General features: G+C 60.0%; 1 pseudogene across 1 annotated transcript in view, besides 8 other annotated features; it reads right to left on the bottom strand.

Moving 5' to 3' along the window:
- The window catches only part of SSPOP (SCO-spondin, pseudogene), a 57,924-nt pseudogene that overhangs the window by 23,136 nt on the left and 7,041 nt on the right, over positions 1-27,747 (bottom strand). The window contains exons 15-62 of the transcript NR_163594.1: positions 27,496-27,723; positions 27,154-27,319; positions 26,695-26,929; positions 25,814-26,002; positions 25,605-25,699; positions 25,090-25,346; positions 24,607-24,741; positions 23,265-23,461; positions 23,036-23,163; positions 22,859-22,968; positions 22,360-22,509; positions 22,170-22,263; positions 21,909-22,078; positions 21,432-21,665; positions 21,008-21,229; positions 20,210-20,547; positions 19,628-19,811; positions 19,437-19,528; positions 19,124-19,355; positions 18,861-19,013; positions 18,624-18,764; positions 18,349-18,531; positions 18,101-18,251; positions 17,367-17,520; positions 17,210-17,264; positions 15,932-16,036; positions 15,401-15,619; positions 15,164-15,291; positions 14,315-14,459; positions 14,084-14,234; positions 13,486-13,558; positions 12,705-12,762; positions 10,826-10,996; positions 10,400-10,543; positions 8,875-9,093; positions 8,626-8,790; positions 7,704-7,883; positions 7,481-7,603; positions 7,226-7,355; positions 7,017-7,142; positions 6,743-6,834; positions 5,246-5,419; positions 4,772-4,936; positions 3,839-4,095; positions 2,526-2,572; positions 2,176-2,346; positions 1,658-1,788; positions 1,296-1,441 (exon numbers count right to left, since the gene is read on the bottom strand). The product of NR_163594.1 is annotated as an SCO-spondin, pseudogene (transcript). The remainder of the gene's footprint in view (positions 1-1,295; positions 1,442-1,657; positions 1,789-2,175; positions 2,347-2,525; positions 2,573-3,838; positions 4,096-4,771; positions 4,937-5,245; positions 5,420-6,742; positions 6,835-7,016; positions 7,143-7,225; positions 7,356-7,480; positions 7,604-7,703; positions 7,884-8,625; positions 8,791-8,874; positions 9,094-10,399; positions 10,544-10,825; positions 10,997-12,704; positions 12,763-13,485; positions 13,559-14,083; positions 14,235-14,314; positions 14,460-15,163; positions 15,292-15,400; positions 15,620-15,931; positions 16,037-17,209; positions 17,265-17,366; positions 17,521-18,100; positions 18,252-18,348; positions 18,532-18,623; positions 18,765-18,860; positions 19,014-19,123; positions 19,356-19,436; positions 19,529-19,627; positions 19,812-20,209; positions 20,548-21,007; positions 21,230-21,431; positions 21,666-21,908; positions 22,079-22,169; positions 22,264-22,359; positions 22,510-22,858; positions 22,969-23,035; positions 23,164-23,264; positions 23,462-24,606; positions 24,742-25,089; positions 25,347-25,604; positions 25,700-25,813; positions 26,003-26,694; positions 26,930-27,153; positions 27,320-27,495; positions 27,724-27,747) is intronic.
- Positions 10,004-10,503: an enhancer, noted in NCBI's record as "H3K4me1 hESC enhancer chr7:149497415-149497914 (GRCh37/hg19 assembly coordinates)". NCBI's record gives its function as "activates a minimal SCP1, AML or CMV promoter by ChIP-STARR-seq in naive H9 embryonic stem cells {active_cell/tissue: H9 hESC(naive)}" and the evidence as "EXISTENCE:reporter gene assay evidence [ECO:0000049][PMID:30033119]".
- Positions 10,504-11,005: an enhancer, noted in NCBI's record as "H3K4me1 hESC enhancer chr7:149496913-149497414 (GRCh37/hg19 assembly coordinates)". NCBI's record gives its function as "activates a minimal SCP1, AML or CMV promoter by ChIP-STARR-seq in naive H9 embryonic stem cells {active_cell/tissue: H9 hESC(naive)}" and the evidence as "EXISTENCE:reporter gene assay evidence [ECO:0000049][PMID:30033119]".
- Positions 19,504-20,292: an enhancer, noted in NCBI's record as "H3K4me1 hESC enhancer chr7:149487626-149488414 (GRCh37/hg19 assembly coordinates)". NCBI's record gives its function as "activates a minimal SCP1, AML or CMV promoter by ChIP-STARR-seq in naive H9 embryonic stem cells {active_cell/tissue: H9 hESC(naive)}" and the evidence as "EXISTENCE:reporter gene assay evidence [ECO:0000049][PMID:30033119]".
- Positions 22,472-23,061: an enhancer, noted in NCBI's record as "H3K27ac-H3K4me1 hESC enhancer chr7:149484857-149485446 (GRCh37/hg19 assembly coordinates)". NCBI's record gives its function as "activates a minimal SCP1, AML or CMV promoter by ChIP-STARR-seq in primed H9 embryonic stem cells {active_cell/tissue: H9 hESC(primed)}" and the evidence as "EXISTENCE:reporter gene assay evidence [ECO:0000049][PMID:30033119]".
- Positions 23,035-23,329: a silencer, noted in NCBI's record as "tiled region #4172; HepG2 Repressive non-DNase unmatched - State 12:CtcfO". NCBI's record gives its function as "represses a minimal TATA promoter and a strong SV40 promoter by Sharpr-MPRA in HepG2 cells {active_cell/tissue: HepG2}" and the evidence as "EXISTENCE:reporter gene assay evidence [ECO:0000049][PMID:27701403]".
- Positions 24,798-25,297: an enhancer, noted in NCBI's record as "H3K4me1 hESC enhancer chr7:149482621-149483120 (GRCh37/hg19 assembly coordinates)". NCBI's record gives its function as "activates a minimal SCP1, AML or CMV promoter by ChIP-STARR-seq in primed H9 embryonic stem cells {active_cell/tissue: H9 hESC(primed)}" and the evidence as "EXISTENCE:reporter gene assay evidence [ECO:0000049][PMID:30033119]".
- Positions 26,484-27,059: an enhancer, noted in NCBI's record as "H3K4me1 hESC enhancer chr7:149480859-149481434 (GRCh37/hg19 assembly coordinates)". NCBI's record gives its function as "activates a minimal SCP1, AML or CMV promoter by ChIP-STARR-seq in primed H9 embryonic stem cells {active_cell/tissue: H9 hESC(primed)}" and the evidence as "EXISTENCE:reporter gene assay evidence [ECO:0000049][PMID:30033119]".
- Positions 27,060-27,636: an enhancer, noted in NCBI's record as "H3K27ac-H3K4me1 hESC enhancer chr7:149480282-149480858 (GRCh37/hg19 assembly coordinates)". NCBI's record gives its function as "activates a minimal SCP1, AML or CMV promoter by ChIP-STARR-seq in primed H9 embryonic stem cells {active_cell/tissue: H9 hESC(primed)}" and the evidence as "EXISTENCE:reporter gene assay evidence [ECO:0000049][PMID:30033119]".

Below are 27,747 nucleotides of genomic sequence, written 5' to 3'. Positions count from 1 at the left end.
TCAAGCTCCCCCTTAAAACCCAGCCACTCTCCTTCCACAGACATGCAGCTCTCCCCTCTGCCCTCCTGCCAGGCAAATGCGGACCATCGGCTTGGGGGCCGTGGGGACGTGGGGACGTGGACCCTCCAATTTCTAGGAGAAAAAGACCATCTTAAAAATTGCAGGACATGAGACTGAACTGTCGAATCCCCATGAAGTCAGCCATGAAAACATGAAATATGCAATTTGTACAGCAATGGTAGGAAAAGACACATTTTCATCAACAAAATAAAAACAGAAAAACATTGTGCACAGGGAATCTGGACAGAAGTCCTTCAGATTTAAAAGAAACAACTGTCTTGTGGCGCATGATTCAAAGTCGAACGCACTGAAGTTTACGGGCCAGGGCCTGGGAAACCCTTTCCCTGCACCGTCTCACTGACTCCTGTGACTGGCTGTAATTTTACCCCAATTTTACAAAGGAAGGAACTGAGGCACGGGAATACTATCCCCAAGCTCGCAGGGCTACCAGTAAAAGAGCCTGATTTGGACTCAGATATGATTACAACGTGTCCCTTAACCACACCCCACGGCTTTGTTCAATCCCACCACACAGCCGGCATTTCCTAGCCCCAATTCCTACCACCCTCTGACTAGAGTGGCCACCTCTCTGCTCTCCAATCTTGGATCTTCAAGTGCAGGACCCCCTCCTTCAGGAAGCCCTCCATGCCTCCCTACTCTCCACACCCTCCAATCTCTGATATTCAAGTCAGGATCACCTCCTACAGGGAGCCCTCCATGGCTGACCCAGCCCACTCCACTCCACTCCACAATGTGCAAAGCTCACTTCCTGCCCGTCTGATGGTTCTAGCTTCATTTTAGGGACTCTGGGTCTGGTTTCCCCAGACTGGATGCTTCTTGAGGGCAGAGACTACTCCTTCCCTACAGAATAGCTCAGCCAGAGACTAACATACTGTAGGTGCTCGATAAATAACTGGTGATAACATAGTGGACAGAGCAGTTGAGCAGGGACAATTCACAAAGATCTTCTAGACCTATCACCATTTTTACCAGTGAGGAAACAGAGATTAGGGGGAGAGGGATGAGACCTGCCCAGGATCCCCTGCTGGTTCCTGCCGGAGCTGAGTTGTAACCCATGAGTTTAGTACCCTTTCCTCAACCTTGCAGGGTCTCCCTGTCTCTAGCCCCATACCCTATGTTCTTCGCTGTCCAGATCCTGCCTGTCCCTTCCCTGCCACCCCATGGTCCCCAGGCTGTACAGAGGCCTCTCTGGGGCCAGGCAGGGGGACACTCACCAGCAGAAGCATCCCAGAGGGGCAGTGGCAGCCAGGGTGGCAGGTCTGGTTAGTCCCTCTTGGGGCGCTGAGCTCTGCACAAGAGGCAGGGCCCTGGGCACAGTCCAGCCACTGCTTGTCCCTGGGACACATGCCAGGCACTGGCCCTGGGGACATAGAAATTGACAGCCCAGCCCCAGAGCACTCAGCTCTCCCCTGAGCTCCCAACCTGGGAGAGGCACCAGCTCTGGGTATGGGTGGGGTGGTCATGGGGACTGCACAAGGGCCGAGGGACAGGGCTGTGCTGGGGTGGCAGACAGGGGGTTGACAGTGCCCTGGGTTGGTAAGAATGAGAACTGGAGGGTCCCCAGGGCAGGCCTCACCTGCGCAGGGCTGCAGGCCACAGGTGGAAAACTCCATGAGGCTGCGCAGCTGCTGCCTCGGGTGCGGTTCCTGTAGCCACCACCACAGGGCACGGAGCACGGAGACCAAGGGCCCCACTCCCCACCAGGACCTGGGGGTGGTGCCCAGGTCACTGCAGGCCCTGCCTCCCATGCCCACCCCACCTTCTCCTCCTCCCACCCAGACACCCCTGGGGACCCCTCCACCGCTTCACCTGCAGCGTCATATCCCACTTAAGGTGCCTCACACCTGCTTGTGGGGGGCTCCAGGATTCAGCCTAGAACTGGGCTGGTCTCTAGGGAGAAGCTGGGGCTATTCTGAGGAGGGGCCCTGTTAGGGAATGGACCCTCAAGGAGTCTCTGGGGACAACCTCTTAGCAGCATCTCTTAATGAAGTCTCTTGCACTTTTCTAGAGGTTCAGGGTGGGGGGTGATGGGAGTCTTCTTGGCTTCTCTCTGGAAGGTTAAGGAGGTCTCAGGACCTCAGTCCCAGCTCTCACCTGGACATGGCCGCAGGCTGCAGAATTCAGCCTCCATGGTGGGGCCTTGGCACTCAGCACCCCCAAAGGCAGCTGGGGGTGCAGTGCCTGCCCGGAAGCGGCGCCGAATGCCCACGTTGCAGCTGCAGCTACAGAGACTCCACAGGGTCCAGGGACTCCAGCCACAGGCCACTGCCAGGGCGTGTTGGGGGCGGAGGGCAGTGTGTGTGAAACCAGGTCAGTCTTCTCATACCCTAACTTCCCTGGGCACCACCGAGCTCCCAGGAGTTTAACTCAGGAGGGTCCTAAGTCCCCTATGGTCCCTGAGGACCCACCACTGCCCAATTCCCGTGCCCCAAGCATGGGGGTACCTGGGCAGCGCTCCGAGGTGCATGCCATCTTACCAGAGACACAGGTGCTGCAGAGAAAGGGGGTAGTGAGGCTTTACCTGGCCATCACGGCCACAGTCAGCCCTTACCCCCAGGGAAGCAGCTGAGACCACTGCAGAAGACAAACCCGAGGGTCTGGGGTGTGAAGCTTGCTGCCCAGGTCCCCTGCGAAGTTCACGATGCACCCTCAGTGAGCCCCACAGCGCCCAGGCGCTGCGCTGTCCTTTGTCCCAAGGTCTCATCCATTTGTATTTATTGGGAAATGACCTCGAGGGCCAGGGCCAGGTAGGAGGGATTTAGAGACAGCTGGAGTTCTCCTAGGAGGGAGAACTGGGTACTTCTGCACACTTGCTGTTCTCTCCAATACATGTTTTAAAGCCTATTTATTAAATACTGGAGGTCCCAGAAAAAGATCGGAGAGACGAAAAGTGAGAAAGAAAGCACAGGCGGGAGGAAGAATAAAGAAGGAGGAAATCGAAGGAGGGGCAGGGTATATAAAGTAAAAAGTAAGAGGGAAATGAAGAATGGCCCGGGCGCGGTGGCTCACGCCTGTAATCCCAGCAATTTGGGAGGCTGAGGCAGGTGGATCACTTGAAGTCAGGAGTTGGAGACCAGCCTGGCCAAATGGTGAAACCCCGTCTCTACTAAAAATACAAAAATTAGCCTGGCATGGTGGTAGGTTCCTGTCATCCCAGCTACTAGGGAGGCTGAGGCAGGAGAATTGCTTGAACCCGGGAAGTGGAGGTTGCAGTGAGCTGAGAGGCGGAGGTTGCAGTGAGCTGAGATTGCACCACTGCACTCCAGCCTGGGCGACAGAGTGAGACTCCATCTCAAAAAAACCAAACAAACAAACAAAAAAAGAATGAAGGAAATGAAGTGAAGAAAAAGAAAAAAGAGGGAAATCGCTTGGAGCACCCTCTGCTGGCAGATCCTGATGTCAGCTTTGGGTACTGGGCACTTGAATGTTTCTGAACAGAAATCAAGTGGATCCCAGGTATGAAATTACATTCAGGAAAGAGAACCAGAGAAAGCTGTGATGAGAGGTTAGACCCTCTGCCATCTCTAGTTCTATCATAAATCGCTCCATCGATCTGAGACCCAATATTCCCATAAGTCAAATGGGGATGACCACTCGCTCTAATATTCTCAGGACCCTGCCCGGCACCCGTGGCTGCTGTGTTGTGTTTGGGGAACGGAGCACCCCACCACGGGGTGTGCTTGTGAAAGGGAGCCCACGCCTGCCCACCTCTAGATCCCCGGCCCCTCTCCCACACTGCCCCCACGCTGTGACCCACCAGTTGTTGCAGGAGTCCAGGCGAGCCATTGCTCCTGATGCATAGAGCTGCCCGTGCAGCTGGCAGGGGCACTGGCTGCGGGGCAGGCAGCTAGCATTGTGCAGGAAAAGACCAGGGGGGCAGGTGCAGCCGGGGGCGCAGAAGCCCGTACACTCTATCTATCCCGGGGCCCTGCGTCAGGCATAGCCGAGGGCAAGGACCCCCCTCCTGGTGACACTGCTCTGCTGAGCGGAACAACATGTTCTCTGGGCACTGGGCTGGATAGGAAGACAAAGCAGGTCTCAGCAAGGGCAGGAAGGACGGGAAGGGATGGGAAGGGAAGGGAGGCAGAGGGGCAGAAGGGAACCTGCAAGCAGGGCATGGGGCGGCAGGCTACTGGGCAGGACTGTGCCAGAGAAGCCACCCCTCCTGCCCCTACCCTCACAGCTTTGCTCCAGTGTCTGGGATGGCACCAGGACACAGCCATGGCTTTGCTCTACTTTAATACAAATATTCTTGAGAACAGACCATGAGGACTCCAGTCATCTGGGATAGGAGGAGCCCTCAGAGGACAAGGGAGAGTAAGGAAGGGGCCAGGGGCTTCAAAGTGCGAGCTCTGCTCCCCCACGATTCTGGCCCTGAGTGTGTTCTGCCCTGAGGAAGGCCAGTCTGCCTCCCTCGGGGAGCCTGTTCTCTGGGGAAGGAGGCCTGCCTCCACCAAAGAAGAGCAAAGGGCTGAGGGGCCACAGCTGCTGGGACCTGGTCCCCAGTGGCAGGTGGGAGAGGCAGGGAGCTAGAGGAGACACAGGAAATCCCAGGCTCCCTTAGCTCCAGGCATTACCTGGCCTGGAGTCAGAGGGCAGTGATGGGCGAAGGTGAGGGTGGGGAAAAGGTCAAAATCCCCAGGAGCTGGGCCAGGGAGGCCTGCTGGAAAATAGGCAGGGAGTCTGGTACCTGTGCAGGGCTGCGTGTTGCAGTCCCTGGTCTGACTGTGGGGTCCTGGGCACGTGGTGTCCCCTGGAGCCAAGCTGGAGCAGCTGCGCCCACGTGTCTGGATGCCTCCATCACAGGGGGCTGAGCAAGTGGACCAGGGAGCCCACAGACCCCAGATGCTTGGCACTGCCAGGAAGAGCCCAATCCAGAGTCACAGACACCGGCATGGCAGAAACAGTCCAGGATAGGGCATCGTGTGGCTGGAGCTGTGTAGCTTGCAGGGTCTTAACTGCAGCCTCCAGCCCCCACCTACGTCTACCACTCAGGCTGGCTTCCTGCGCGATGGCTGGGGTGGGAGAGGCTTAAGGACAACAGCCAGGTTTGCTCCAACCCTTGGCCCCTCCCAGATGTCTAGAACCGGCTCAAGGGGGCATTCTTCTTTGCTCCTCATCCCACCCCAGCATCCGAGCCACCCCTGGGCCCAAGGGAGAATACCTGGGCATACAGGGGGGCTGCAGGGCTCCTCCTGGGTGGCATCTCCTGGGCAGGATGAATCCCCAGGGCTGGGGCAGAGTCGGGAACGACTGCGCCAGCCAGGGCCCCCTCCCGGGGCAAGGCAGCTTTGGGAGCAGGAGGACCAGGAAGTCCAGGGCGTCCAGCCGAACACCTCTGTGGAGGGGGAACAGGACAGGCCATTTGTGCAAAGGCCTTTACTGGCAGGGCTGGGGAGGGTCGAGGAGCCTGGGTTAGGTCTGAGAAACTAGGTGGGCAGAAGAGGGCTCACAAGGAGGAGGGAGGCTGCTCTGGGCTCAGGGTGCAGCCTCTGCCCCTTCTCAGCTCACTTGCTGGGACCCCCACTCTCCAGCCCCATCTTTTTTCTGCTTTTCTGGGGGGCTGAGGACAGGATCTGTCAGCTGGAGTGCAGTGGCATGCTTATAGCTTGCTGCAGCCTCTACCTCCTAAGCTTACGTGATCTCCTATCGCAGCCTCCCGAGGAGCTGGGACCACAGGCATGCGCCACCATGCCCAGCTACATTTTTAATTTTTTTTTTTAAGAGATGGGGTCTCTCTATGTTGCCCAGGCTGGTCTTGAACTCCTGGCCTCAAGCAATCCTCCCACCTTGGCCTCCCAAGGTGCTGGAATTATCGGCGTGGGCCACTGCACCTGGCCTCCAGCCCCACTTCTCACCCTCAGGAGCCAGGCACAGAGCCTCCTGTGAACCTGGGCTCAACTACATTCCCACATCTCTCTCCTGGACTCGGACAGCACCTCAGCAGGACCACCACCAATCCTCATGTTTCCCCCAGATCAACGCTTCCTGATCCTTCTATGCCAGAAACTGATTAAGAGTCCCTGTGGAAACTGTCAGTGTCCCACCGGCCACTCTCCACTGGCCCCTCTTTCCCTCCTACTGCAAGAGCCTGGCCCAGACCCCCTGGATGCACCCTGCCTCTCTCCCCCTCCCCTCCCCCACTCCTCTTTCTTCCCCATTGCCCACCTCTCCCTTGCCCACCTCATCCCATTGCCCACCTCGTCCCATTGCCCACCTCGTCCCATTGCCCACCTCGTCCCATTGCCCTGCACAACAGTGAGGCTGCGCCTGCTCTGCAGAGACCTCCACTGGCACAGGCACTGTCTGAGAAGCACCCGGTAGGTGGAAAGAGGGAAACCATCTGGCACCTTCATCTGGCCTCTAAATGTTGCTGCTGGCCTCCCTCAACCCACCAGCCTCACCTCTCTCGCCCGGCTCTGCAGTTGCCTGCTCCACCCAGGCCAGCCTGCTCCTGGCGCCCAGGCAGTCTGGGCGGGAGTCTCTGCCTCTCCCCATCAAAGCCCCTCCACCGAGGCCAGTTCAAGGGCTGCCTCTCAGACTGCGGAGGTGTTACCAATCCCCCACGTAGAGTGGTCAGTGGGTCCCATCCCATGTGTTCTCAGGGTACAGAATTGGGAGGAGGAAGGGGGGACTCCTGCACCCAGGCTCCCGGCTATACCTGTCCCACACACTGTGTGGCAGCCCTGCAGTTCCTGCCGGTCACCTTCACACGGGGCACCCCCCCAGGCTGCCGGAGGGTTGGAGGGAGACCTGGGGAGAGAGGCAGCCCTGAGCACCCGCTCTGCTCTCTCCCTGCCCTCACTCCCGCCTTCTTCATCCTTCATCCCCTGTCCACCATCTTTCCACTATCGCCCCCTCAGGGCTGGCCTGGCTCCTCGCCTCCCTGGGCCCCACCACTCCTTCTCACACTGCCGTCCACCCCTGTCGCACACCTGAACCTGGCCCTCACTCCAGAGCCACAGGAGCGGTCGCAGGGAGCCCAGGAGGACCAGGCTGACCAGCCGCAGGGCAGGGGGCAGCCCCCTGGTTGGCACAGCAACTCCCCCTTCTCACACACGCTGCAGGGGAGGGAGAGGCTGAGGAACCGGTCAGGGCTGGGGAGACCCCGGTACAGTGCCCTCCCTGGTGCAGCCGCCCTCACCATTGGCTGCAGTTGCCCAGGAGGAAGGACACCCCTGGCCACTTCAGCTCTTCGCCCACCAGGCAGGGGCACTCAGAGAGGGGCAGGCAGCGAGTGTCATGCAGAAGGAGCCCCGGGGGACAGCGGCATCCTGGGAGTATGTGGAAGAGGGCACTCAGCCCCAAGGGGCACAGCAGGGAGGGGAGGCTGGAGACTGGGGGCTGGTGGGCCTGTGTGGGCATCCCACAGTCCCCCTGCAGGCCAGGTCTGCCTCACCTTCCACACAATGCCCACTGCAGCTTCTGTTGGCCTTGGGATCCAGGCAGGAGGGTGGGCATGGGGGCACCAGCCCCTTCTGGCACAGATCGGCACTCACATACACACGGCCCAGCTCGCAGTCTGGTGGGGGATGGGCACCAGGTGAGCCTAGGTGCTGGGAGGCCCAATCGCCCCGTGCCCACAGTGCTCCCTCCGTGTCCCCAGCCCAGCACCCCCTTACCTGTGCCACCTGAGCAGGGCTGCAAGCCGCAGGGTGCCCTCTCTTGGGAGGCCCCGGGGCAGGGGGCACCGCCATTCTTGGGTGGGGGGTCCACACAGCTTCTCTGGCGACTCTGATGGCCACCCCCGCAGGAGACGCTGCAGGGTCCCCAGGCCTCCCACATGGCCCATGCCCCAGCCACTGTTGGGGAAGGTAGCATGTGGGTCCACCAGGAGGGGTCCAGGAGACACAGGCTATGAGAGAGTGGCCAGAGCCAGCGCTCCCCTCCTCCCCCGGCCTGGGCAGCAGCCAGTGAGGCAGCCAAGGGCCCTGCCCTGGGTGTTCCACAGCTCCTCTTCTGTCCCAGGAAACCTCCCCTAGGTGGCAGGTGCCTGGAGAAAGGGCTCTAGGTGCCTCCCAGGACAAAAGCTCTGCTCCCTGGGAAGGGGCCGGGACTGCAGGGATCCTGGGGAGAGCAGCCCTGATGGCAGCTGTAGGGCCACCACAGCCAGGGAGGAGCCAGGGTGGGACTGAAAGAGGCCCCTGTGTGGGAAGCCCCTCTCTGCCATGCACAGAAGTAGGTGAGGGCCACTCCCTTGGATCGATGGAATAAAAGAGTGACAAGGCCTTCCGCATGGCACCCAGGGACAAGTGGCACAGCTGGCTGACACATGAGGCCTGGCTCCAAACACCCCCACACACCATCTCCCTTAATCCTTCCAGTGCCTTCTGAGGCAGGAATGACCATTATTTCCAGGCTATACACAAGAACCTGAGTCTTGGCTCAGGTAGGAAAGGAGGGCAGGGCCAGCCGGGAGGCTCTCAGATGGAAACCCACCCCAGGTTTCACACCTGAAGGTTCCTGAGGAGACTGGGTGGGGGGTTCCCCACCTCCCTCTGGGAGCAGGGGCTTTCCCGAGGGAAGGCTGGAGTGCAGGATTACCTGGGCAGGCCTGCACAAAGCAGGACTGGCTTCGGAACCGGTCACGCGGGCAGCTGCCCCCTGGCAGAGGAGGCCGCAGCAGCTCCTGGCGCTGGAAGGTGAGGCCCAGGCCACAGCTGCGGCTGCAGCTGCTCCAGACAGACCAGGGGGCCAGCACGCAGTCCACTGCAGGGGCATGGGGGCCGGGGCTCAGAGGGGCTCATGCAGGAGGGGGCCCTCAGGGCTACCCCTGCCCTGGCTGGCACATACCACAGCCATCCTCGTCCGAGCCATCCTGGCAGTCAGGCCGCAGGTCACAGCGCCGCTCAGCAGACAGACACTCCCCGCTGCCACAGCTCAGCTGGCTCGGGGAACAGAGGGCCCTTGAGGCTGGAAGCCCAGGCAGGGCCATGGTAGGCATCATGAAGGGCACAGTGCTCGCTGCCCACAAGGCAGGGAGAGAAGGGAGCCACATAAGTAGATTCCTGGCTGAATGATACACTCAGCCCCTTCTCAAGCCAAGAGCCAAAGTGAGCTTGCTGACTGGAGCCCCTGGCCTCCCCTTCCTCCTGATGCCTCCTGCATCCCATGCCCAGAGCAGGCTTCCTTCCACTATGTGTTGGTGAGATCATGGAGTCTTGGGTCTACACAAGCTCTCACACAGAGATTCTAGATGCTTAGGTACCTTATTCCTGAATGCATACTCCCTGGGGTGGCTCTTCTTGTGACTGATTAACATTGGATTTCTTTGGTCATGATTGGAAGACTAAGCTTTGATCATAGTGATCTACTTTGCATGGATGGATGGATGAATAAATGAATGGATGGATATATGGGTGGGTAGATGGATAGATGGGTGGATAGATAGGTGGATGAATGCATGCATGGATGGGTGTATGGGTAGGTGAGTGAATGGATGGATGGGTGGATGGATGGATGGGTAGATGAGTGAGTAGGTGGATGCATGGGTAGCTGATGAATGGATGAATAGAGGGGTGGGTAGATGAATCCATGGGTGGATGGATGGGTGGCTGATAGATGCATGGGTGGGTGTCGGATGGATGGATGAATGGATGGGTGGATGGATGGGTGGCTGATAGATGAATGGATAGAGGGGTCGGTGGATAGATGAATGGATGGATGGGTGGATGGATGGGTGGGTGGATGGATGGATGGATGGGTGGCTGATGAGTACATGGATAGAGGGGTAGGTAGGTGGATTGAGATGGATGGATGGATTGATGGATGGACGGGTGAATAGATGGATGGATGGGTAGATAGATGCATGGTGGCTGGCTGGATGGGTGGATGGATTGATGGATAGATTTGTGAGTAGACAGATGGTTGATAGGTGGCTGATGAATACATGGATAGAGGGGTGGGGGGTGGGGGGTGGGGGGTGGGAGTGTGGGTGGGTGGGTGGATGGATGGATGGGTGGGTGAGTGGGTGGATTAGTGGATGGGAGGATGGGTAGACGGATGGATGGGTGGTTGATGGATGGATAGATAGAGGGATAGGTAGAATGTTGGATGGGTGAGTGAGTAGATGAGTCTCTTCAAAGGTCAAACAGGTTTTATAAAATAGGCTGAGACCCAAGGCCTATCCTATTCCCGGTCTTGACCACCCCCAAAGACACACACACTCCTGTTTTTACCCATTTTCTCCATTCCCTGCTGCCCAAGCCTCCCCCAGATCCTTTCCAATATGAGCTACAAATGAGGGCAGACACTTTCCTACACTGAAGGATAAGTGCCACCCCCTACCCACAGGACAGCAGGCCCTCCAGCAGCTCACCGCAGTGCCTCTCGTCGGAGCCGTCGAGGCAATCCTCCCTGCCATCACACACCTGCGCCTGTTCCACGCAGCCCAGCACCTCACAGGGCGTCTGGCCGGGGCCACACTGCACAGGTGGGAAGGGTCCTGGGGCGACGCTCTGGCCTGTGGGCACCACCACAGCCGGCTGACCAGTCACTTGGCCTGCCCTGTCCTTTCTCCTTCGTCACCTCCCTGAAGCCCCCAAGCTCCCTCCTCTTGGCATCTGCTATGCCTCACTCTGCCTATCTTGGGATAATAGAAAAAGGGTAAACTGGGCTAGGAAACTCAGTCCTCCCCAAAATGACCTTGAGCTGTGTGACCTTGAACAAAGGGCCTCTGTCCCCCTCACAAGGAAGGTGGGCTTACAGAGGCCTTGCACACAGGTAGAAGGGCTTGGCATCTTACCAGCAGGGGTCGCTGGAGTCACAGGGTGTGGGGGCACCACCGTCACAGCTGCCATACCTGGTGGCAGGGTCCTGGCCTCCATCTGGGGTATGGGGGTGGTGGTCACCATCTGCACAGATTCCCCATGGTGAGGCACCCCGGAGGCTGGGCCAGGACTCACGGGCCTTGTCTCTGTGGGTGTAGGTAGAGGGAGGTGAGGCTTGCCCAGCTCCCCTTCCCAGGAAAGGAAGGTGGGGGCCCTCGAGAGGGTATCCCAGGCTTCTGGGTGGTGCAGAGTAAATCACAGGTGCTGCGGACCAGGCTTGGGGCAGCAGGGGCTGGAGAGAAAGGAGGGTGAGGGTGCCAGGGCTGCTCTTTCATTCTGGCTCATCCTCCCCTGGGCCTCACCGTGCCACCTGCCTGGGCCTCAGCTTTTCCCCATCTGTGACACTAGGAGGCCTTATAGACAACTGTGGCCCCTCCCTGTGAGTTCTGATGGAGGTTATTCAGAACCTGGCCGGACTGTTTCTGTGTCTTTTGTGAAAAGCAGACAAAGCAATTGATGCCTTCTGAGAGGCCTTGCATCAAAAAAATCCAAGGAGCACAGGAAGGGCTTTGGCTGAAAGTAGAAGACTTGTTTTGATCTGAGATTTTTATTCTATTCCCAAGAAGAAACACATGGCAACTTTCAAGTTCAAACTCACCATAAAATACGATATTTAGGGAGACAAAGAACTGAGGTCATTTTAACACAGCAGCAGAGGGAGTAAACACTACCAGAGACCCAGGGTGAGTTCATTGTTTCTGTTGTAAACAAACAACAACAACAACAACAACAACAACAAACTGATTTTGGGCTTCCTGGCAGCTACAGTGAAAAGGGTTAAAAGTCTCATTTTCTGGCAAGAGATGCATTCAAAGACAGCCTTTTTTTTTTTTTTTTAACCAGACTGAGAATGAAATTATAATGTATCCCATGGGTCTGCATGTTATGGATCTGAGGGGTGGCATCAATTGCTTTGTCTGCTTTTCACAAAAGACACAGAAACAGTCCGGCCAGGTTCTGAATAACTTCCATCAGAACTCACAGGGAGGGGCCACAGTTGTCTATAAGGCCTCCTAGTGTCACAGATGGGGAAAAGCTGAGGCCCAGGGGAGGATGAGCCAGAATGAAAGAGCAGACCTGGTGCCCTCACCCTCCTTCCTCTCCAGCCCCTGCTGCCCCAAGCCTCACCCAGATCCCTCCCATAGGGGCTAGAAATGAGGGCAAGAATTCACCCACACCAAAAGCCCTCTTACCACCCCCTCATCCCCGCAGGACAGCAGGCCCTCCAGGAGGCAGCTCTCTGCTGGCTAGCACACAGGTGAATAATCAGGTAGCTCCAGGGAGGCCGGTTCACAACCAGGCAGAGCCTCTTCCTTCCTTATATAGGAGCATGCCAACTTGGTGACCACATCCAACCCCCGTGCCCACTTAAGAGACATTTGATGCCAGCAAACGCTTCAGAAAGGGGGGCCTGGCTCCATGGATGGTGAGCAGAGAGAGTGCAGGCTGGAGCCAAGTGGCCTCCCACCCCCATGGGGGAGACCTGTCCTGACCAGGCATCTGGAGAGGCAGCCACATTACAGGGCACAGGCTCAGTCCTGGGAGCTGGCCTGGAGCTACCTGCCCCGCCAACCTACAGCCACATACCTTGGAATCCCAGGGGGTGGGCAGGGGCAGGACCTGGCCATGTCCAAAGTGACCAGTGTCTCCTCCCTGAGCCAACCCCGTGACTCTCTTGGTTGTGGGGAAGTCAGGGGTCATGGGATTTGAACCCCTGAGATGTAACGGCCCCTGGCTCTGGAAGAACAGGTGGGACAAGAGTTTGGGGAGGAGGCCTGGAGTCTGTGCACACACCTGTCGGGGACGTGGGGGATTCCTGCCCAGGGGGCCAGTGCTCAGTCTCTGCCAGGCCCTGCAGAGGGAGAGGGCTCAGCACCCTGCACAGCCCCCGGCCCTGAGGGCAGCTCCCATCCCCTGAGGATACAGCCTGGGCGCTCACAGTCCCAGCACTGCTTCCTGTCCATCTTCCTCCCCCGCAGCCCAGGGCAGAGCTGAGCACGCAACTGCGCTTCCAGGCACCAGCCCACTGCCCTCAAGGAGCTCAGGGACCTTATTCTCAGCAGCCCACCAGGGTGATCCATTTCAGCTCTTGCCCCTCAAACTCCCCTTCCCCCACCCAATGCACATGTCCACCCCCTACCCCCTACCCCACCCACACACTCTGGGTTGCTGACCAGGCCATTCCAGGTGGGAAGGTGCTCCGCGCCTTCTCCACACTATAGACACCCCTCTCCAGCCCTCAAGTCTTGTCCGGGAAGCCCCTGGGGACCCGGGCACAGGGCTCTTTTCGGCTCTGAGCACCAGATGCCCTGGTGCCTGCCCCGTGGGCATAAGCTCCCTATCAGGGGTGCAGGCTTCTCTTGTCCCCAAACCCCTCTGGGCCCTCGCTCTGCCTGCACGTCTCTGCAGCCAGGCACCGGCAAGGCTCCTGAGAGCAGTACCAGGGAACACACAGGAGGAAATGCTGCGGAGAGGGGAGACGCCGCCAGCTGGTGCAGGAGCAGGGCTGGTGAGGCTGTGAGGCGAGGTCCCCGTCCCCCCACTCCACCCTCTGGGCCCAAGGCTCTACACTCACCTCCCTGGGCCAGTGCAGCAGCTGCCCCGGCTGGGCAGAGGAGAGGGCCAGGGTCTTGGCTGTGGAATGGAATCTGGGGAGAAAAATAGCCAAAAGGACTCCAGGGGCCCTCCCAGCACCAGTGCCCCCCTTCCAGGCAGGGGCGTCAGTGTGCTTTTGCTGGGCCTGGGGTCTTTGCGGGAGTGAGCATTCAGGAAGGACTCTGCCCACTGAGGCTGGACAAAGGCGATGTTCCCAACAGTAGCTCCCAACTTGACCATGGGTTAGAATCACCTGAGGGGCTTGTAAGACACACATTGCTGCACCCCACCCCTGCAGGTCTGGGCGGGCCCGAGAACCTGCCCTTCTAACAAGCTCCAGGTGCTGCCGATGCTGCTGGTCCAGGGCCCACACCTGGAGAACCCCTGACTCAACTATGAGAAAGGCAGGGAATCCTAGAATCCAGGTGGGAAAGGGCCTTGAAGGCACCCGGCTGCAGCTCCTCAGCATGCAGGGTCTGGGCACCTTGGGGGTGAAGGCAGTGCCGGGCCCCTCCCACATGGCTGTCCCCTCAAAGGCCAGGCCAAGGGCGTGAGCTGCACGGCCGGCCACAGTATACCTGCCAGTGCCCTCAGGCAGCAACACACAGCCCTCCTCATCCGAGCCATCCTCGCAGTCCAGAACACCGTCACAAGGGCCCCCTCTCAGGACACACTCACCACTGGCACAGCGGAGTCCAACCCCTGGGCACAGAGGTGCCGGTGGGGACCCTGTGTGGAGGACGTATGGCTGAGGGCTCCTCCCATGGCCCCTCTCTCTCCTGCCCTGCCCACCCCTGCGCAACCTGTACCTGGCTCGCAGCCCAGCAGCTCCACCTGCAGGGGGACATCGCTGTGGTGGACATCGTGGGGCCACACCCTGACAAACCTCGCCTGCACCATGCGGCCGAAAGTCCATACGGCAGGGTCCAGGTCATCCCAGTTTCTGGGGAAAAGCTGCCAGCAGAGGATGCGGATGACTGAGCTTCACCTCTTTTTCAGGCTGACCTCATGACTTTGAGTGACCCCACTTTTTCCCCAGTTTTCACGGCCCCTCCCAGAGCCATGCCCCCCACCCTGGCAGTAGGCATTTGGGCCTCTCAAGGCTGGAGGGGGCTGGTCCTGGACTGAGCTCCTCTCGCTAAGCTGGAGGTGCCCCTAGGGCAAAGGCCAGGTCCTGTTCACTGCTGTGTCCCCAGGGCCTGGCTCGGCACCTGGCACAGAGCAGGTGCTCCTGAAACAGTTAAGACTTAACACAGCACGGACTGATTCCTACCGCTTCGTGCGGTTTGTCTCCGGGAAGGATGCAAACCCCCTGAGGGCAGGGCTGTGCCCAGGCTGCTCTCCACGAAGACGTGCGTGGGTCTGGGCTCCCGGAGGCCCTCAGTGAACTTGGTGTCTCCCCATCCTCTCTCCCTTGCAGGCTTCACATACCTGCCCTGAGTCTGAGCCACTTGGATGGTTTCCAGCATCCATGTGACAGTGGCACCCAAGCCTCGGCTCCACAGAGCACAGTCCCTGCTACTCACCAGGTATTCAACAAGCATCGAATGCAGGCCATGCCCCTCGGGGACACTGGAAGGCCCTTGGGGACAAAGACTATGGAACCCACAAAAGGGCATGGTGGGCTGCTGGCCCCATCGGCCTTGGGCGGGTGATACCTTGGGCAGGGGCAAGATGCCAGGCAGGAGGTCACGATAGTCATGCCAGTGTAGACCATTGCTGCTGAACTGGAGTGAGAAGCTGCTGGCATATGCGTTGGAGGAGCCAGTCTCCGGCACTAGGATGCCTGGGGAGGGAGGGGCCAGGGCAAGAGCAGAGGTCAGAGCTGAAGGAGCTACACCGGCCCCCCGCCCATCATCACTGCCTCCCCCTCAAGCACTGCCCTCCTCACTGACCAGTGAGGTTCCGAGGCTGAAGCAGGTCCAGCTGCAGGTAATGGGGCCGAGTGTGCCACTTGGCATAAGCATCCCCTCCAGCGTGCCATCCCTGAGGGCTGGGCCCCTGGGTGGGAGCCCCCAGGAGGGCAGCCTGGGTGGGGTGTTCCAGCTGCTGGGACGATGCATGCAGACTCCCCTCAGCCAGTCCGGCCAGCCCCAGGGGAGAATAGCAGGGGTCTGGGTGCAGAAGAGAGAGACAGGCTGGAGTAGGGGAGGACAGAGGGCGGCAGGAGCCTGCAGGGACACGGTTAGGAAGTCGCATGGGGAGCTAGGGGATGTGAAACGTCCACATGGGTGACTTTAGCCCAGGGAGGGAAGAGTCAAGAGAGGCAACTTAAGATAGGATGACTCCCAGATCCTTAGGACAACCATCCACAGTGTGCAGGGCAAGGAGGATGTCCCCGAGGGCCTGTTTCCCCTCCCAGGTTGGACAACCCCTGGGCAGCATGGCCCCTCTCAGCACTGCACTCCATAGCACATGGCCCTTACCTCCTGACGGAGGCAGAATGTAAGTGGCCAAAGGGAATCTGATCTGGGGACTGGGAGCCGGAGCTGCGGCAGGAGTGGCCATGGGCTGGACCGTCTGGTTCTCTCCTGTGGGAGGAGACTTCAGGGTCAGGAGACAGAGACCGAGAGGCTCACAGTCCCCAGCCCAGCACTCAGGCCTCTCCCCACTTCTTAGAGCATTTTCTCCCTGCTGACTTCCCAGGAACAACCTCCTAGCTGGGAAAGGTCCCTCCTCCTTCCCTTGGTGTGAATTGGGGGCTTTCACATCTACTGAATATTTAGAGAACATAGAGTAAAACTGCCAGCCTGAAACTACTTTCAGCCCAGGACCCAGCAACTGCAGTTCCTAATCCAGGGGTGCTGACACCAAAAAGGCACCTTCATGGGCATTAGAAAGGGGCTGCCTCTGGATGAAAGCAGCTCTGTGGGCTGGAGTCTGGGTCCCAATCACCAGCTAACTTGTACAGTGAACAACCTGTGCAGCTGAGTATGCTGGTTCTGTTTTAACCTCAGCAACCTGTGGATGCACTTTTAGGATAAGAATGGGGCAGCCTGATCAACATGGCAAAACTCTGTCTCTGCTAAAAATACAAAAATTAGCTGGGCATGGTGGTGCATGTCTAACCCCAGCTACTCGGGAGGATGAAGCATAAGAATCGCTTGAAGCCAGGAAGCAGAGGTTGCAGTGAGCCGAGATCACACCACTACACTCCAGCCTGGGGGTCAGAGTGAGACCCTGTCAGAAAGAAAAGAAGAGGAGACAGGACAGGACAGGACAGGACAGGACAGGACAGGACAGGACAGGACAAGACAAGACAAGACGGAAAACCTGGACCCATAAATGCATCCATTTCAAGCCTTTGTATTTTCCCGTTTCACTTATAACTCCTTTCCAGGCAAAGATACTTTTGAAAAGTCCAACTTAACTTTGTCTTGGCTATTCTAAGAGGGAAAGAAAAGCAACCAGAGCAACCAGATCTGAGCAGAAACAGAGGAAAGAGAGCACCTCAAAGGTGGCACCATGGGGGAGGCAGAAAGCCCCCAAAGCACAGGAAGGCAGGGCGGACGGAGAGGGAGGGCAGAGAGAAGCCTTCGCACCCCGAGGTCCCCTCCTTCCCTTGGCATGCAGAACTCAGGCTTCCTGCCACCCTGAGGCTGGGGTATCCAGCCACCCCCGCTCAGTGCCCCTGGTTCCCTCTCAGAGACCCTGCCGATTGTCCTCCCCCTGGGACTTCCCTGTCATGCCCCAGGCACACTCACCAGGTAGGGCACAGTGGCAGCATGATTCTCCCGTCCCCTCCACCAAGACCCAGCCCTGCAGAGGCACAGAGGTCAGGCCGCCTGCCTATCTCCAACCCATTCCACCAGCCTCCCCATCCCCTCCAGCTCTGCCCACCACACACTCCAGTGCCCTCACCTGGGGGCAGCTGCCGAGCGGGCAGTAGGGTGAGCAGTGTGCGGTGAGGTTGTGCAGACACTGGCACACCCTGCAGGGGCCCCCATGCCAGCGTTCCCCGACACGGTGGACCTGGCCCTGATGCTCACACCCCTCACAGGGCTCCGTCTGGCACCTGAGAAGGGAGGGATGTCCCTGGCCTGGTGACGGGGCTTGCTTGGGGTAAACAACTCTCCTGGTTCGCCTGGACTGAGGACTTTCCCAGGACTTGGGACTTTCTGTGATAAAACTGAGGAAGTCCTGGGCAAACTGAGACATTTGGTCACCCTATCAGCCCACTCTGCCCCTACACCTGAGACATTGCAACTGGCCCAGAAGAAGGCCAGGGAAGCAATTTGTACCAGCACTGCAGCCAGCGCCGTGGGTCCCAGAGGGGGCTGGGGAGGCAGCTATGGCAAGAGCCCCCCGCAAGCCTCAGCCCAGGAATTCAAGCTGAGTTTGTGAAGCTGCATCTGCGGGCTCCGTCTACCCACCTTCAAGACCTAGAGGGCATAAAACTAGAGAAGGGAAAGGCCAGGGGTCCCCAAAGAGGTTCCGGGACTCCCGGGATTTAGACGGGTAGGGGCACAGGGCAGGGGTTCCGAATTGGGGATGTGTGGTGGATGTGGAAGGGGCACACAGGAAGCTTCCTAAGTGGGAGGTGGGGTGCGGGCCAAGGTCCCTGCAGGTCCCCCGGTGGGTGGGGAACAGAGCACCTGCGTGCCTTGCGGTGGATGCCACGGCACTGGCGACCTCGGCCGGAGGGGCGGGGGTTGTTGGAGCTCCGGAAGGACCACTGGATGCTCTGGCTTCCACAGGGGCCCAGGCACTTGGCCCAGGGTGACCAGGAGGACCAGCCACAGTCCACTGAGGGAGGGCCAACAGTCAGAGCCTGAAGGAGGTGGTGGATGTGCAGCTGGGCGGTCCAGGGAGAGGACTAGGGACCCCGAGGGAAGGGCCTCACCAGCGCAGTCCGGGTTGAGTCGGCAGCGTCGGGGCCGTCCGTCTTGGCAGATGCAGAGCTGGCAGTCGGCCTTGATGCGTTGCCCAGGCCAGTAGCGGGCACCGTCCACCAGGCAGGGGCACTGCCGGGGCCACACACACCACCCCTCGCTGCCCAGCACCTGCCCTTCTGGGCACCAGCAGCCTAGAGGGGGCCCAGGGTGAGGCTTCCATGCAGAGGGCTGTTGCCACAGACCCACACCCTGGAGCCAGCACCTGGGCCCAGAGCCCCCTTACCCGGGCTGCCGCAGGGCCAATCAGGTGGGCACGTGACCTGGCCAGAGATGTCATCACAGGTCAGTGGGCAGGGGGCACAGGGCTGGAACATCAGCTCCCCAGAGCAAGTGGCATTGGGGCAGCCGTCCTGAGGGCAAGGCTCTGAGAGAAGCCGGAAGCAGAGGTCAGAGGTCAGGGAAGGGAGCTCTGCAGAGAGGATGGCCTCCCACCAGCAGCACCATCCTCTCTTCAACTCACTGGTCTGGCGGGTGCTGTGCAGGCCTCCGGGCAGTGCAGCACAGGTGCGGCCCCCATTCTGGGGTGAGTGGCACTGCCGTTGCCGCGTCATGGTGCCCCTGCACGGCTCAGAGCACACAGACCAGGGGGACCAGGTGCTCCATTCACCGTCCACTGTGAGGCAGGGGGACAGGGCAGGCAGTGAGGACCATGGGGGAGGGCTGAAGGCCTAGTGGCCTTCTTCTCCCTTCCTCTATCCAGGCCCCACCACCCCAGCCCCTCACCTGGGCAGGCTGCCGTGAAGCAGGCCTGAGACTGGTGCTCAGGCCCTGGGCAGTTCTGTAGCACCAGGAGGCCGAGTGGGGAGCAGCGGCGGCTCCGGCCCTGGCCCCAGGGCCCACACGTCCGGCTGCAGGGCCCCCATGGGCTCCAGGGGCCCCAGGCCCCACAACCCTGCTCTTCTGGGGAGGGGCCCACCTGCCCTGGCCTTCCACAGTCAGGCTGCCCATCACACACCTGGGGAGGGAGTGGGGTCAGGGCTCTTGTGCTGGGAGGCAACATGGCACTGCCGCCTCCTCCACCCACTCCCACCCTCACCAGCTGGAAGCCTATGCAGGTGCCATTGGGGCAGGTGTATTCTGGGCAGGGAAGCCCTGTCCTGTTGGGGCCTCCCAGGGCTGGCAGCCCCCCTGGGAAAGAAGAGGAGAAAAAACACAGTGAGCGGGGGGTGTGAGCTGTGTCCCGGGCCCAGCCAGCGGGGCCTCCCTCAGGGAACAAAGCATCCTCACCGCAGTCCAGCTCGTCCTCGCCCTGGGGACAGTCTGGGATCCCATCACAGAGCTGCTCAGGGGTCAGGCACAGCCCCGGAGCCACACCACAGGGAAAGAGGCCAGGGCACAGAGGCAGCTGGGTGGAGCCTGCGGGCACTGTGAGATGTGTCCTGCTCCGCTCCTGTCCCTTCCTGCCCTCTCCCTGCAGAGGGGCAGAAAGGCGGGTGGGAGGCGGCCAGACAGGCCAGCCTGGGAGGAGCTGGGGGGCCTGTGGACAGCTCGCTATAGGGGGAGGTAGACAGGACCTGAAGGGCTGGCTTGCAGTGACACAGAGGGTCTGCTCAGGTCTGGTGGGGAAATGCTGAGGGCGGGATCCCTCCAAACAGACACACTCCTCATCCCCGCAGAGCCTCTGCCCACCCTCTTATCCCTTCTTGGCCAAGTGTGGGGAAAGACAAAGCCCCTTTCTTCGCTCTCCTGGGCCTAGGTGGGAGGGTAAAAACTTTTCAAATAAAGTTTCACGAAAAAGATCAAAGGAACGCAAACGTGGCCCAGCCTCGGATGCCCCCAAACCTAAATCACTCTAGCTGCCGCGCCCACCTGTGCCTCAGGAGGCGAAGGTGGGGATGGCGCTCGGGAAGAGGTGGGCCCGCCGGCTTGGCCAGGGGGGCCGCGCATGGCCGGGGGCGCGGGAGCCTCAACGCAGGCGTCGGGGCCCTCGTCCGAGCCGTCGGGACACTGCCGCACGCCGTCGCACAGCTGCTCGGGGGACACGCAGTGAGGGCCGCGGGCGCAGGGCGCGTGGTGCGGCGCGCAGGGCCCTCCGCAGCCGCGCTCGTCGCTGCCGTCGGCGCAGTCTTCCTCCTGGTCGCAGCGCCAGCCCCGCGGGGTGCACTCGCCGCTGCCGCACCGAAACTCGAAGGGGCCGCAGGGTGGCGCTGCAGGGAGCGTCCGCGCTGGATCCTCTGCCGGCGAGCGCCCTCCCACCCGCAACCGCGCCCGGGTCAGTCCTTCCACCTCCGCCGCTGCTCCCCTCCCTGGTCCAAGTCCCTTGGCCATTTCCTGGGCCTGGCCCTAACCCACCTGCAGCCCCTTCCCGAGAACAATCCCTCTGCATTTTGCTGCCCGGTTGGTTTTCCCAAAGCTCTCCCCTGGGCCAAGAATTTCCATGAGACTCCCTGCAGCTGGGAGGGAGGCCTTGAACGCCAGGAAAGAGTGTAGACTCTTTCAAACGCCCTCCACTTCATTCATTCCAGCGTCTTCGGGTGTCTCCCACTGCGCCCTGCTCCTTCCCATCCCAGAGCAGCGCCACAAATGCCTCTCTCTGAGGCTTCCATGCCCCTCTCCCCCAGGCTTCTGGCCACCAGCTTTCCCACCTCTTCCCTCCAGGAGACTCACCAGGGCTGGCGCTGGCCAGGGGACTTGACGCAGTGTCCAGGGAGCCTGGGGAGGGGCCAGGCAAGGTGCTGGCAGGAGGTGTGGGCAGAGAAGGTAGGGGGCAGTGTCCCGGCCCCTCATCGGCTCCATCTGGGCAGTCCCAGACTCCGTCACACAGCTGGATGGCCCCCAGGCAGGTGCCATCAACACAGGACACCTCCCCGGGGACGCAGGTCACCTGCCCTGCACAGAAAAGAAGAACTGGCTCTGGGGCACTGCCCTGTACTCTTACTGTTTGGGGTGCCCCAACTCCCACACCCTCAGGACCAACTTCATAGCAGGAACCTGGCAAAGGAGCGGGGAGGTGAAGTCGGGGCTCTTGAGGAGATGGGCCTTGCGGGAGGGAGTGCTGGGTGGGCTGGCGTCCAGGGCAGGGACAACTCACCCAGACAGGACTCCTCGTCGGCGGCATCCAGACAGTCAGGATGCCCATCGCAGAGCAGGGCCGGCGGCAGGCAGCGTCCATCGGCACAGGCCAGCAAGCCCTGGGGGCACGGATAGCTCGGCTCATCCGTGCCATCTCCACAGTCATCCTGGCGGTCACAGAGCAGGGCCAGGGGCAGGCAGTGGCCGGAGCTGCAAGTCATCTGCCCCTCCCCACAGCCTGGGGCGGCACAACCTAGCATGGGGCAAACAGGCAGGCTCAGGACGCTGCTGTAGGGGCCCAGAGAAGCCCTGAACCCCAGAGGGACCAGAACACCCTCCCTTCCCCTCATCCCTCCAGGCCACAGGCAGCCCCTGGCAATGGGAGCAGCAGCTAAAGAAGCCACTCCAGGACAGCTGCCTTGGCCCCAGGAAATTCAGTTACATGTGCAAGGACTGACCAACCCTGTCGCTTCCACGCATGGGCAAAGACACTCACCCTCCTCATCAGAGCCATCGCCACAGTCGTCCTGGTTGTCACAAAGCCACCCATGGGGCACACAGTGCCCATTCTCTTGGCACAGGGCCTCTCCCTCTGCACAGGCAGGCACAAGCTCCTCACAGTGGCCACCGTCACCCCCACAATGCCATTGACCTTCCTGGCACGTGCTGAGCACACAGCGTCCTGGGATCAGCCACAGGCTGGGCTTGGCCCAGTGCTCCTTCAATAGGTCCCCCCCAAGATGACCTCCCCACTCACCAGTTCCCGCAGTCCTTTTGCAGCACAGACCCCGGCGGGAAGGAGTTGCGGCCCCACTCACAGGGGCAGGAAGCTGGCTCCAAGCAGGCTCCTCCTGAGGTCACAGAGTGCAGGGCTCAGAGCAAAAGGGCACAGTGGCCCCTTCCCAGTCTCAGTGCCCCTCCCCTCTGCCCTTTGTCACTCTACACACCGTGCAGCAGAGTCCCCTCGGGGCAGAAGCAGCCCTCCACACAGGCCACCACCTGGCAGTGCCACCCGGGCTCAGGATGCTGCTCATGGCAGGTGGGGGGACACGTGGGGCCACAGGCCTCATATACCTGTCCCCCTTCACACTGCAGGGCTGGGTGGAGAGGAGAGAGCCTTGGATCACTGAGGCACAAGGGCAAAAGGATGCAACCACACCAGGCTGGCTGGCCAAGGTGACCACCATGGAGGGCACAGGGTGTCTGGTGTAGACCTTGGGCAAGACCCCCCGGGCCGACGTGTACCATGTCAGCTCTACTCGGCAGCCGTTCTTGCATATATGGCTTATCTAGAAAAGTGTCTGGCACAGAGTAAGCACTCGATGCACAGCTTGCCCTTGAATGAATGAACGGCCGTCTTGTGGGACAGGAGAAGCTCTTTCAAGAAGCTGAGCCTGTGGCAGTGGCAGGATTTAGCATTGGGGACTGAGGGCGGGGCACACTCACAGCAGAGCTCCTGGCTACGCCAGCGCACGTGGTGCCCATGCCGGGCACACTCATCTGCATAGGTGGCAATGGCCGAGCAGAGGCACTCACAGTCACCCCCCGAGTCGCAGCTGTGGGAGGAAGCATTCAGTCCCGGCACCCCCACCTCTACCCCACTCCAGGTTGGCCTCTCCTTACCCGCAGGCGTCATACAGGCACCACTCATAGTGCTGCTGCGGGGGGACCTCCGCGTGGCATAATGTGAAGAGCGGCTGCAGCAGCGCCCCACAGCGGGCCCGAGCCCAACCAGCCCGGTGTGTGTTCATCTGCAGGCACAGGGTGGCGTCTCCAGCACAGTGGACCAGCGGACACCCTCCCCAGCCCTGCCTCTGGGAACCTCCCTTCCTGCTTTCCCGCCTGCACTCACCGTGCAGGGGTGTGGCAGGTCTCCTGGCTCAGGGCAGAGGGGGCTGAGGCGCCAGGAGTGGGCAGCCAGTTCAGCTGTGGGCTCCAGGACGCCCTGGCGGCTCCGCAGATCATTACTGGCATCTCCATCAAAGTCACCACACAGCCCAGCCACGCGACCACGGAACTGAGGGGACAGTTGCACCAGGACCCGAGTCCCTGGTGGCAGCATGGTTAAAAGTGACCTCACCAGCCCTTATCTGGGCCAGAAGACCCAGGGTCTGTTTTACCACCACCAGGTGCCACCCCCACCAGGGGGTATGGTTACCTCTTTTGTGGGGGGATGATTGGTGATGATAAATGAAGAGACCTATATTTAGGGGGCTCAAGGTAGGAATTAGGAGCCTATTTTCCTAACTAACACCAAGCCAAGGGCTGAGGGGGAGAGAAATTCTCCATCAGGTCAGATTCTGGGAAACCAGACTCCAGGATGGACTGTGAGGCCCAGCAGCACCAGCCTCGGTGGCGGCAGGCTGGGAGGGTGGCCCAGCGGCTCAGAGCCAAGTCCATATGGGGGTTATCTGGGTTTCCCTCAGTTCCACAGAAGCAGTTAGATATAACATATAAGCCAACTGCTTATATGGGTGATGGGAAGTTAGGAGATTTATTTTCATTTCGCCTTTCTAAAACTTGGTATTTTCTCAATGTTTCCCTTGGTGTGGAAGGATTGCTTTCATAATGATGAAAAAGATAATTATGAAAACCTAATTTAAAAAAAATTTTTTTCTCGCTCTATTGCCCAGGCAGAGTGCAGTGGGGTGATCACAGCTCACTGCAGCCTTGACGTCCCAGGCTCAAGCAATCTTCCCATCTTAGCTCCCAGGTAGCTGAGATTTCAGATGCGCACCACCGTGCCCAGCTAATTTTTGTATTTTTTGTAGACAGGGAGTCTTGCCATGTTCAACCCAGGCTAGTCTCAAAGCCCTGGGCTCAAGGGATCTGCTCGCCTCAGCCTCCCAAAGTGCTGGGATTACAGTTGTGAGCCACTGCACCTGGCCAAAAACCTAATTTGGAAACTCGGACCTCTTGCATGGACTGGGAGGTAGGGGTGGCACTGGGTTGGGCATGGGGCAGGGCAAGTGCCAGCCAGGCAGGGAAGTAAGGTGAGAGCTCAGGGTCCTAGCCTGGCTGTCAGCTTAGCTCTCAGCCTGGAAATCTGCCCTGTGGAGGTGTCAGGGGCTCAGTGGAGGGAGACCAGGAGGAGGGAGGGTCAGGCGTTGGGAGAAAGAAGTTGGGGTGAGTTCAACCCTATGGTGCTAAGGCGGGGCACAGGTCCAATGGTTGAGGGAGGGCAGGGGCCTGATCTCCATCCCAGAGCAGGGTGAGGCCCAGGTGGGTCGAGAGCAGCAGGAAGAGGCCAGCACGACGCAGGCTCAGCCCAGGGCCTGTGTAGACCTTGGGGGGCGTCACGCTCACCCCATTCACCGTCACTGCCCGGCCTGTAGAGGAAGAAAGGCATTCAGGCCCAGCCTGGAGGAAAGGGTCCTCCAGATCCTCATGAGGCTCTCTAGCTCCCCTGTCCAGCCCTTCTTTTGCTTCTCTACCTGTGTGACCTTGGGCACATCATTAGACTTCTCTGGGACTTAATTTCTGGGAGGCTTCTGGTATTGAGTCCCAACCAAGAGGAGAGGCACCAACCCCATGGCATGGAGGGCAGCCAAGCCCAGTAAGGAGCTGGCCAGCAGTGAGCAGACACAGGGAACCCCGCCCCCTCCCACCTTGCACAGCTGGGAAGCCATACAGGTGTGCCCCTCCCTGGCAATGTCACCCTTCAATGTTGCAGCCACCTCTGAGCATGTGCACAACAGTGCCCTCCAGACGCACGGCCAGCGCTTTGGTGCAGGTGAGACCGCTGGCCCCACAGGGCAGGTTCTGGGCAGAGACTGTGAATAGGCCACTGGCCTCTCGCACCAGCAGATACTCGCAGGCCCCAGGATAGGTGAAGGCCAGTCCGTCAAATGTCACATAGTGGGGGGCGCCTGATGCCTGGCACCGCCCACTGCGCCGCTGGCCTGTGCAGTGCCACTGCCGGCCCCGGCACACGCTATGGGCAAGGTGGGGGAAACAGAGTCACCGAGGATAGGGCCCTGGGGGCTGGATCCAGGGAAGGCAGCTGGTCCAGGTTCCAGGCAATCTCAGCAGCCCTCAGCGTGGTGGGGTCCTGCAGGGTTCCCTTGGCCCAGGCCAGTCTGGATACCCCAGCCCCCACCACCCCGACCCCTTCTGGTGGAGGGAAGGATGATGTGTGGGGAGCCATGGGCCACAAGGTCAAAGGGTTAGAGGTCACGGCAGCTGGGCATACCAAACGTTGCAGTCTTCCTGGATGGTGGCGTTGGGCAGGTACCACTGCCCACTGTGACGGCAGGGACAGAGGTCAGGAGGCACACAGCGCTCGTCCTGGGCAGAGGGCAGGGACAAAGGGCACCATGTAGGGGTGCGAGGGGAGCAGGGCAGTGCCCTGGCTTAAGGAAGGCCATCCTGTTCCCCCACGCAGCTCCTTCTTGGACTCACCAGCAGCACCGTGCCTGGTGGACAGACACAGCCATCAGTACTGCCTGCAGGGCAGGAGTGATTGGCGCTGGGGCTGTCACAGGTGAGGAGACAGGCACCAGGGGCATAGACAAGCTCCCTGGGGCAGAATGCCCCTGTGAAGGGCAGTGGCGAGCCGTGCAATTCCAGAGGCCCCTTTCCTGGCAGATGCTGCAGGAGGTTGAGAAGGAGTAAGAGGCAAGTCCGAGCTTCCAGGAACCTGGTCTGACCTGGTGAGAATCTCAGGAACCCAGACACTGGGTACCCAGGTGTCCAGATCCCATCACGTTGAGTGAAAACCCAGCCCTGATGCTGGAGACCTGAGCATCTCAGCTCCCAACACTCAGTCATCAGCACAGGGAGTTGGGCTGTTTCCAGCACCCTGACATGCCTGGGATAGACATTGTCACCCTTTCTGTCCCGGCTCCAATAGGTCCATCCTCCAGGCTCTGGAGCAGGACAGAGATATTGAACCACCCTACTCCCAGCCCAGGTAGGAGAGGGATTGCATTGAAGCCTGCAGATCCATAATCTGCCTTCACTTCACTTCTCGTGAACAAGCTGTGTGACCCTGCAAGCTGTTTAGCCTATCTGAGCCTCAGTTTCCTCATCTGCAAAATGGGAACAATTTTTCCACTTCTTACTTTATGAGGTTATGATAGGAAAGTAAAACTAGATAAAATGATGCACACGAAAGTGCTTTATGGACCCTAAAGTGCCCCACGACCGAGGGGAAGTGATCAGCACTCTGTCACCCCCAGCATGCACGCTGCAACCAACAAGGCTGCACCCCACCCGTTATCTCCCAAGCTACCTCTTCACCCCCACATTCTTCCTCTTGCCCCAAAGGTCGCTGCCCTCACCAGCGGTTGCACTCCTTCATGGTGGCACTGCCAGGGGCATAGCGACGGGCTCCGAGCTGGCAGGGGCACAAGCTGGGGGGCACACACTGGCCCTCAGGGTCCCACAGCAGCCCCAGAGGACAGTTACAACCAGCCACACAGCTGCCCAGCTCTCCACAGTCCTCTGGTTTCCCGCAGTGTTGACCGCATGCTGGGGCACACTCTCGGTACTCCTGGCCACCAGGACACATAACAGCTGGGCACAGGGACACACACAGGTCAGGGGCATAGCCACCACTGGCTCTCTCCACCCCCTCGGAACCCCACAGCCCACACCCCCTGTGCCTTTGCAGGAAGAAAAGCCCGGCAGTCTGCCAAGGGTAGAGATGCACCCTGGGCCCCTAGCCATTCCTGGAAGGGGGATGGGCTAGGGAGGAGGGGAGGAGCCTGGGTGGGGTTGGCTGGGCTGAGCAAACTTACGGCAGAGGGTCTGGTTCCTCCAGGGAGGTGAGGCACCTTCCTGGGCACAGCGACGCGCATAGGCAGACAGCACCGGGCACAGGCAGTCACTGCCGGGATCACAGCCACACACGGCTGCCAGGCAGCGCAGATAGAATGGCTCTTTGTCCACCAGCCTGTGGCATTCCTTGGGAGGAGATGGGGAAATGGGTCAACTTCTCCTCCACGGAGTCTACGTCCCCTTGGTCCCCAATACCACCTCTGGGCTTGTCTGGTCTCCCTTGATCCTCCCAAGAGCCCAGGTGGAGGGCAGGGCAGGTGTCGGCCCATCTTACAGATGTGGGAGGAGCCCAACCCAGCTACCTGGAAGACAGAGCTGTGCAGGATGGCACAGGCCGCCTCTGCGAAGGCGTGGCGCTGGGAGTGGGTGGTGCAGGGAGACAGCAGGGCACTGTCCTCAGAGGGGCATCTTCCCTTGCCGGCCACCTGGAACTTGCTAGCAAAGGCAGCAATGCTAGTTTCCACATCTCCGGCTGGTGTCAGGAAGTCGTCCTGCTGGTTCTGGGTGAAGGTGCCACACAGACCCTGCACCTGGGCCACAAGCACGCATGTAAG

This window comes from Homo sapiens, chromosome 7, assembly GCF_000001405.40.
Source record: "Homo sapiens chromosome 7, GRCh38.p14 Primary Assembly".
NCBI classification, from domain to species: Eukaryota; Metazoa; Chordata; class Mammalia; order Primates; family Hominidae; genus Homo; species Homo sapiens.
The sequence above is the reverse complement of the archived record's forward strand: the minus strand, read 5'-3'. Positions and strand labels throughout refer to the sequence as shown.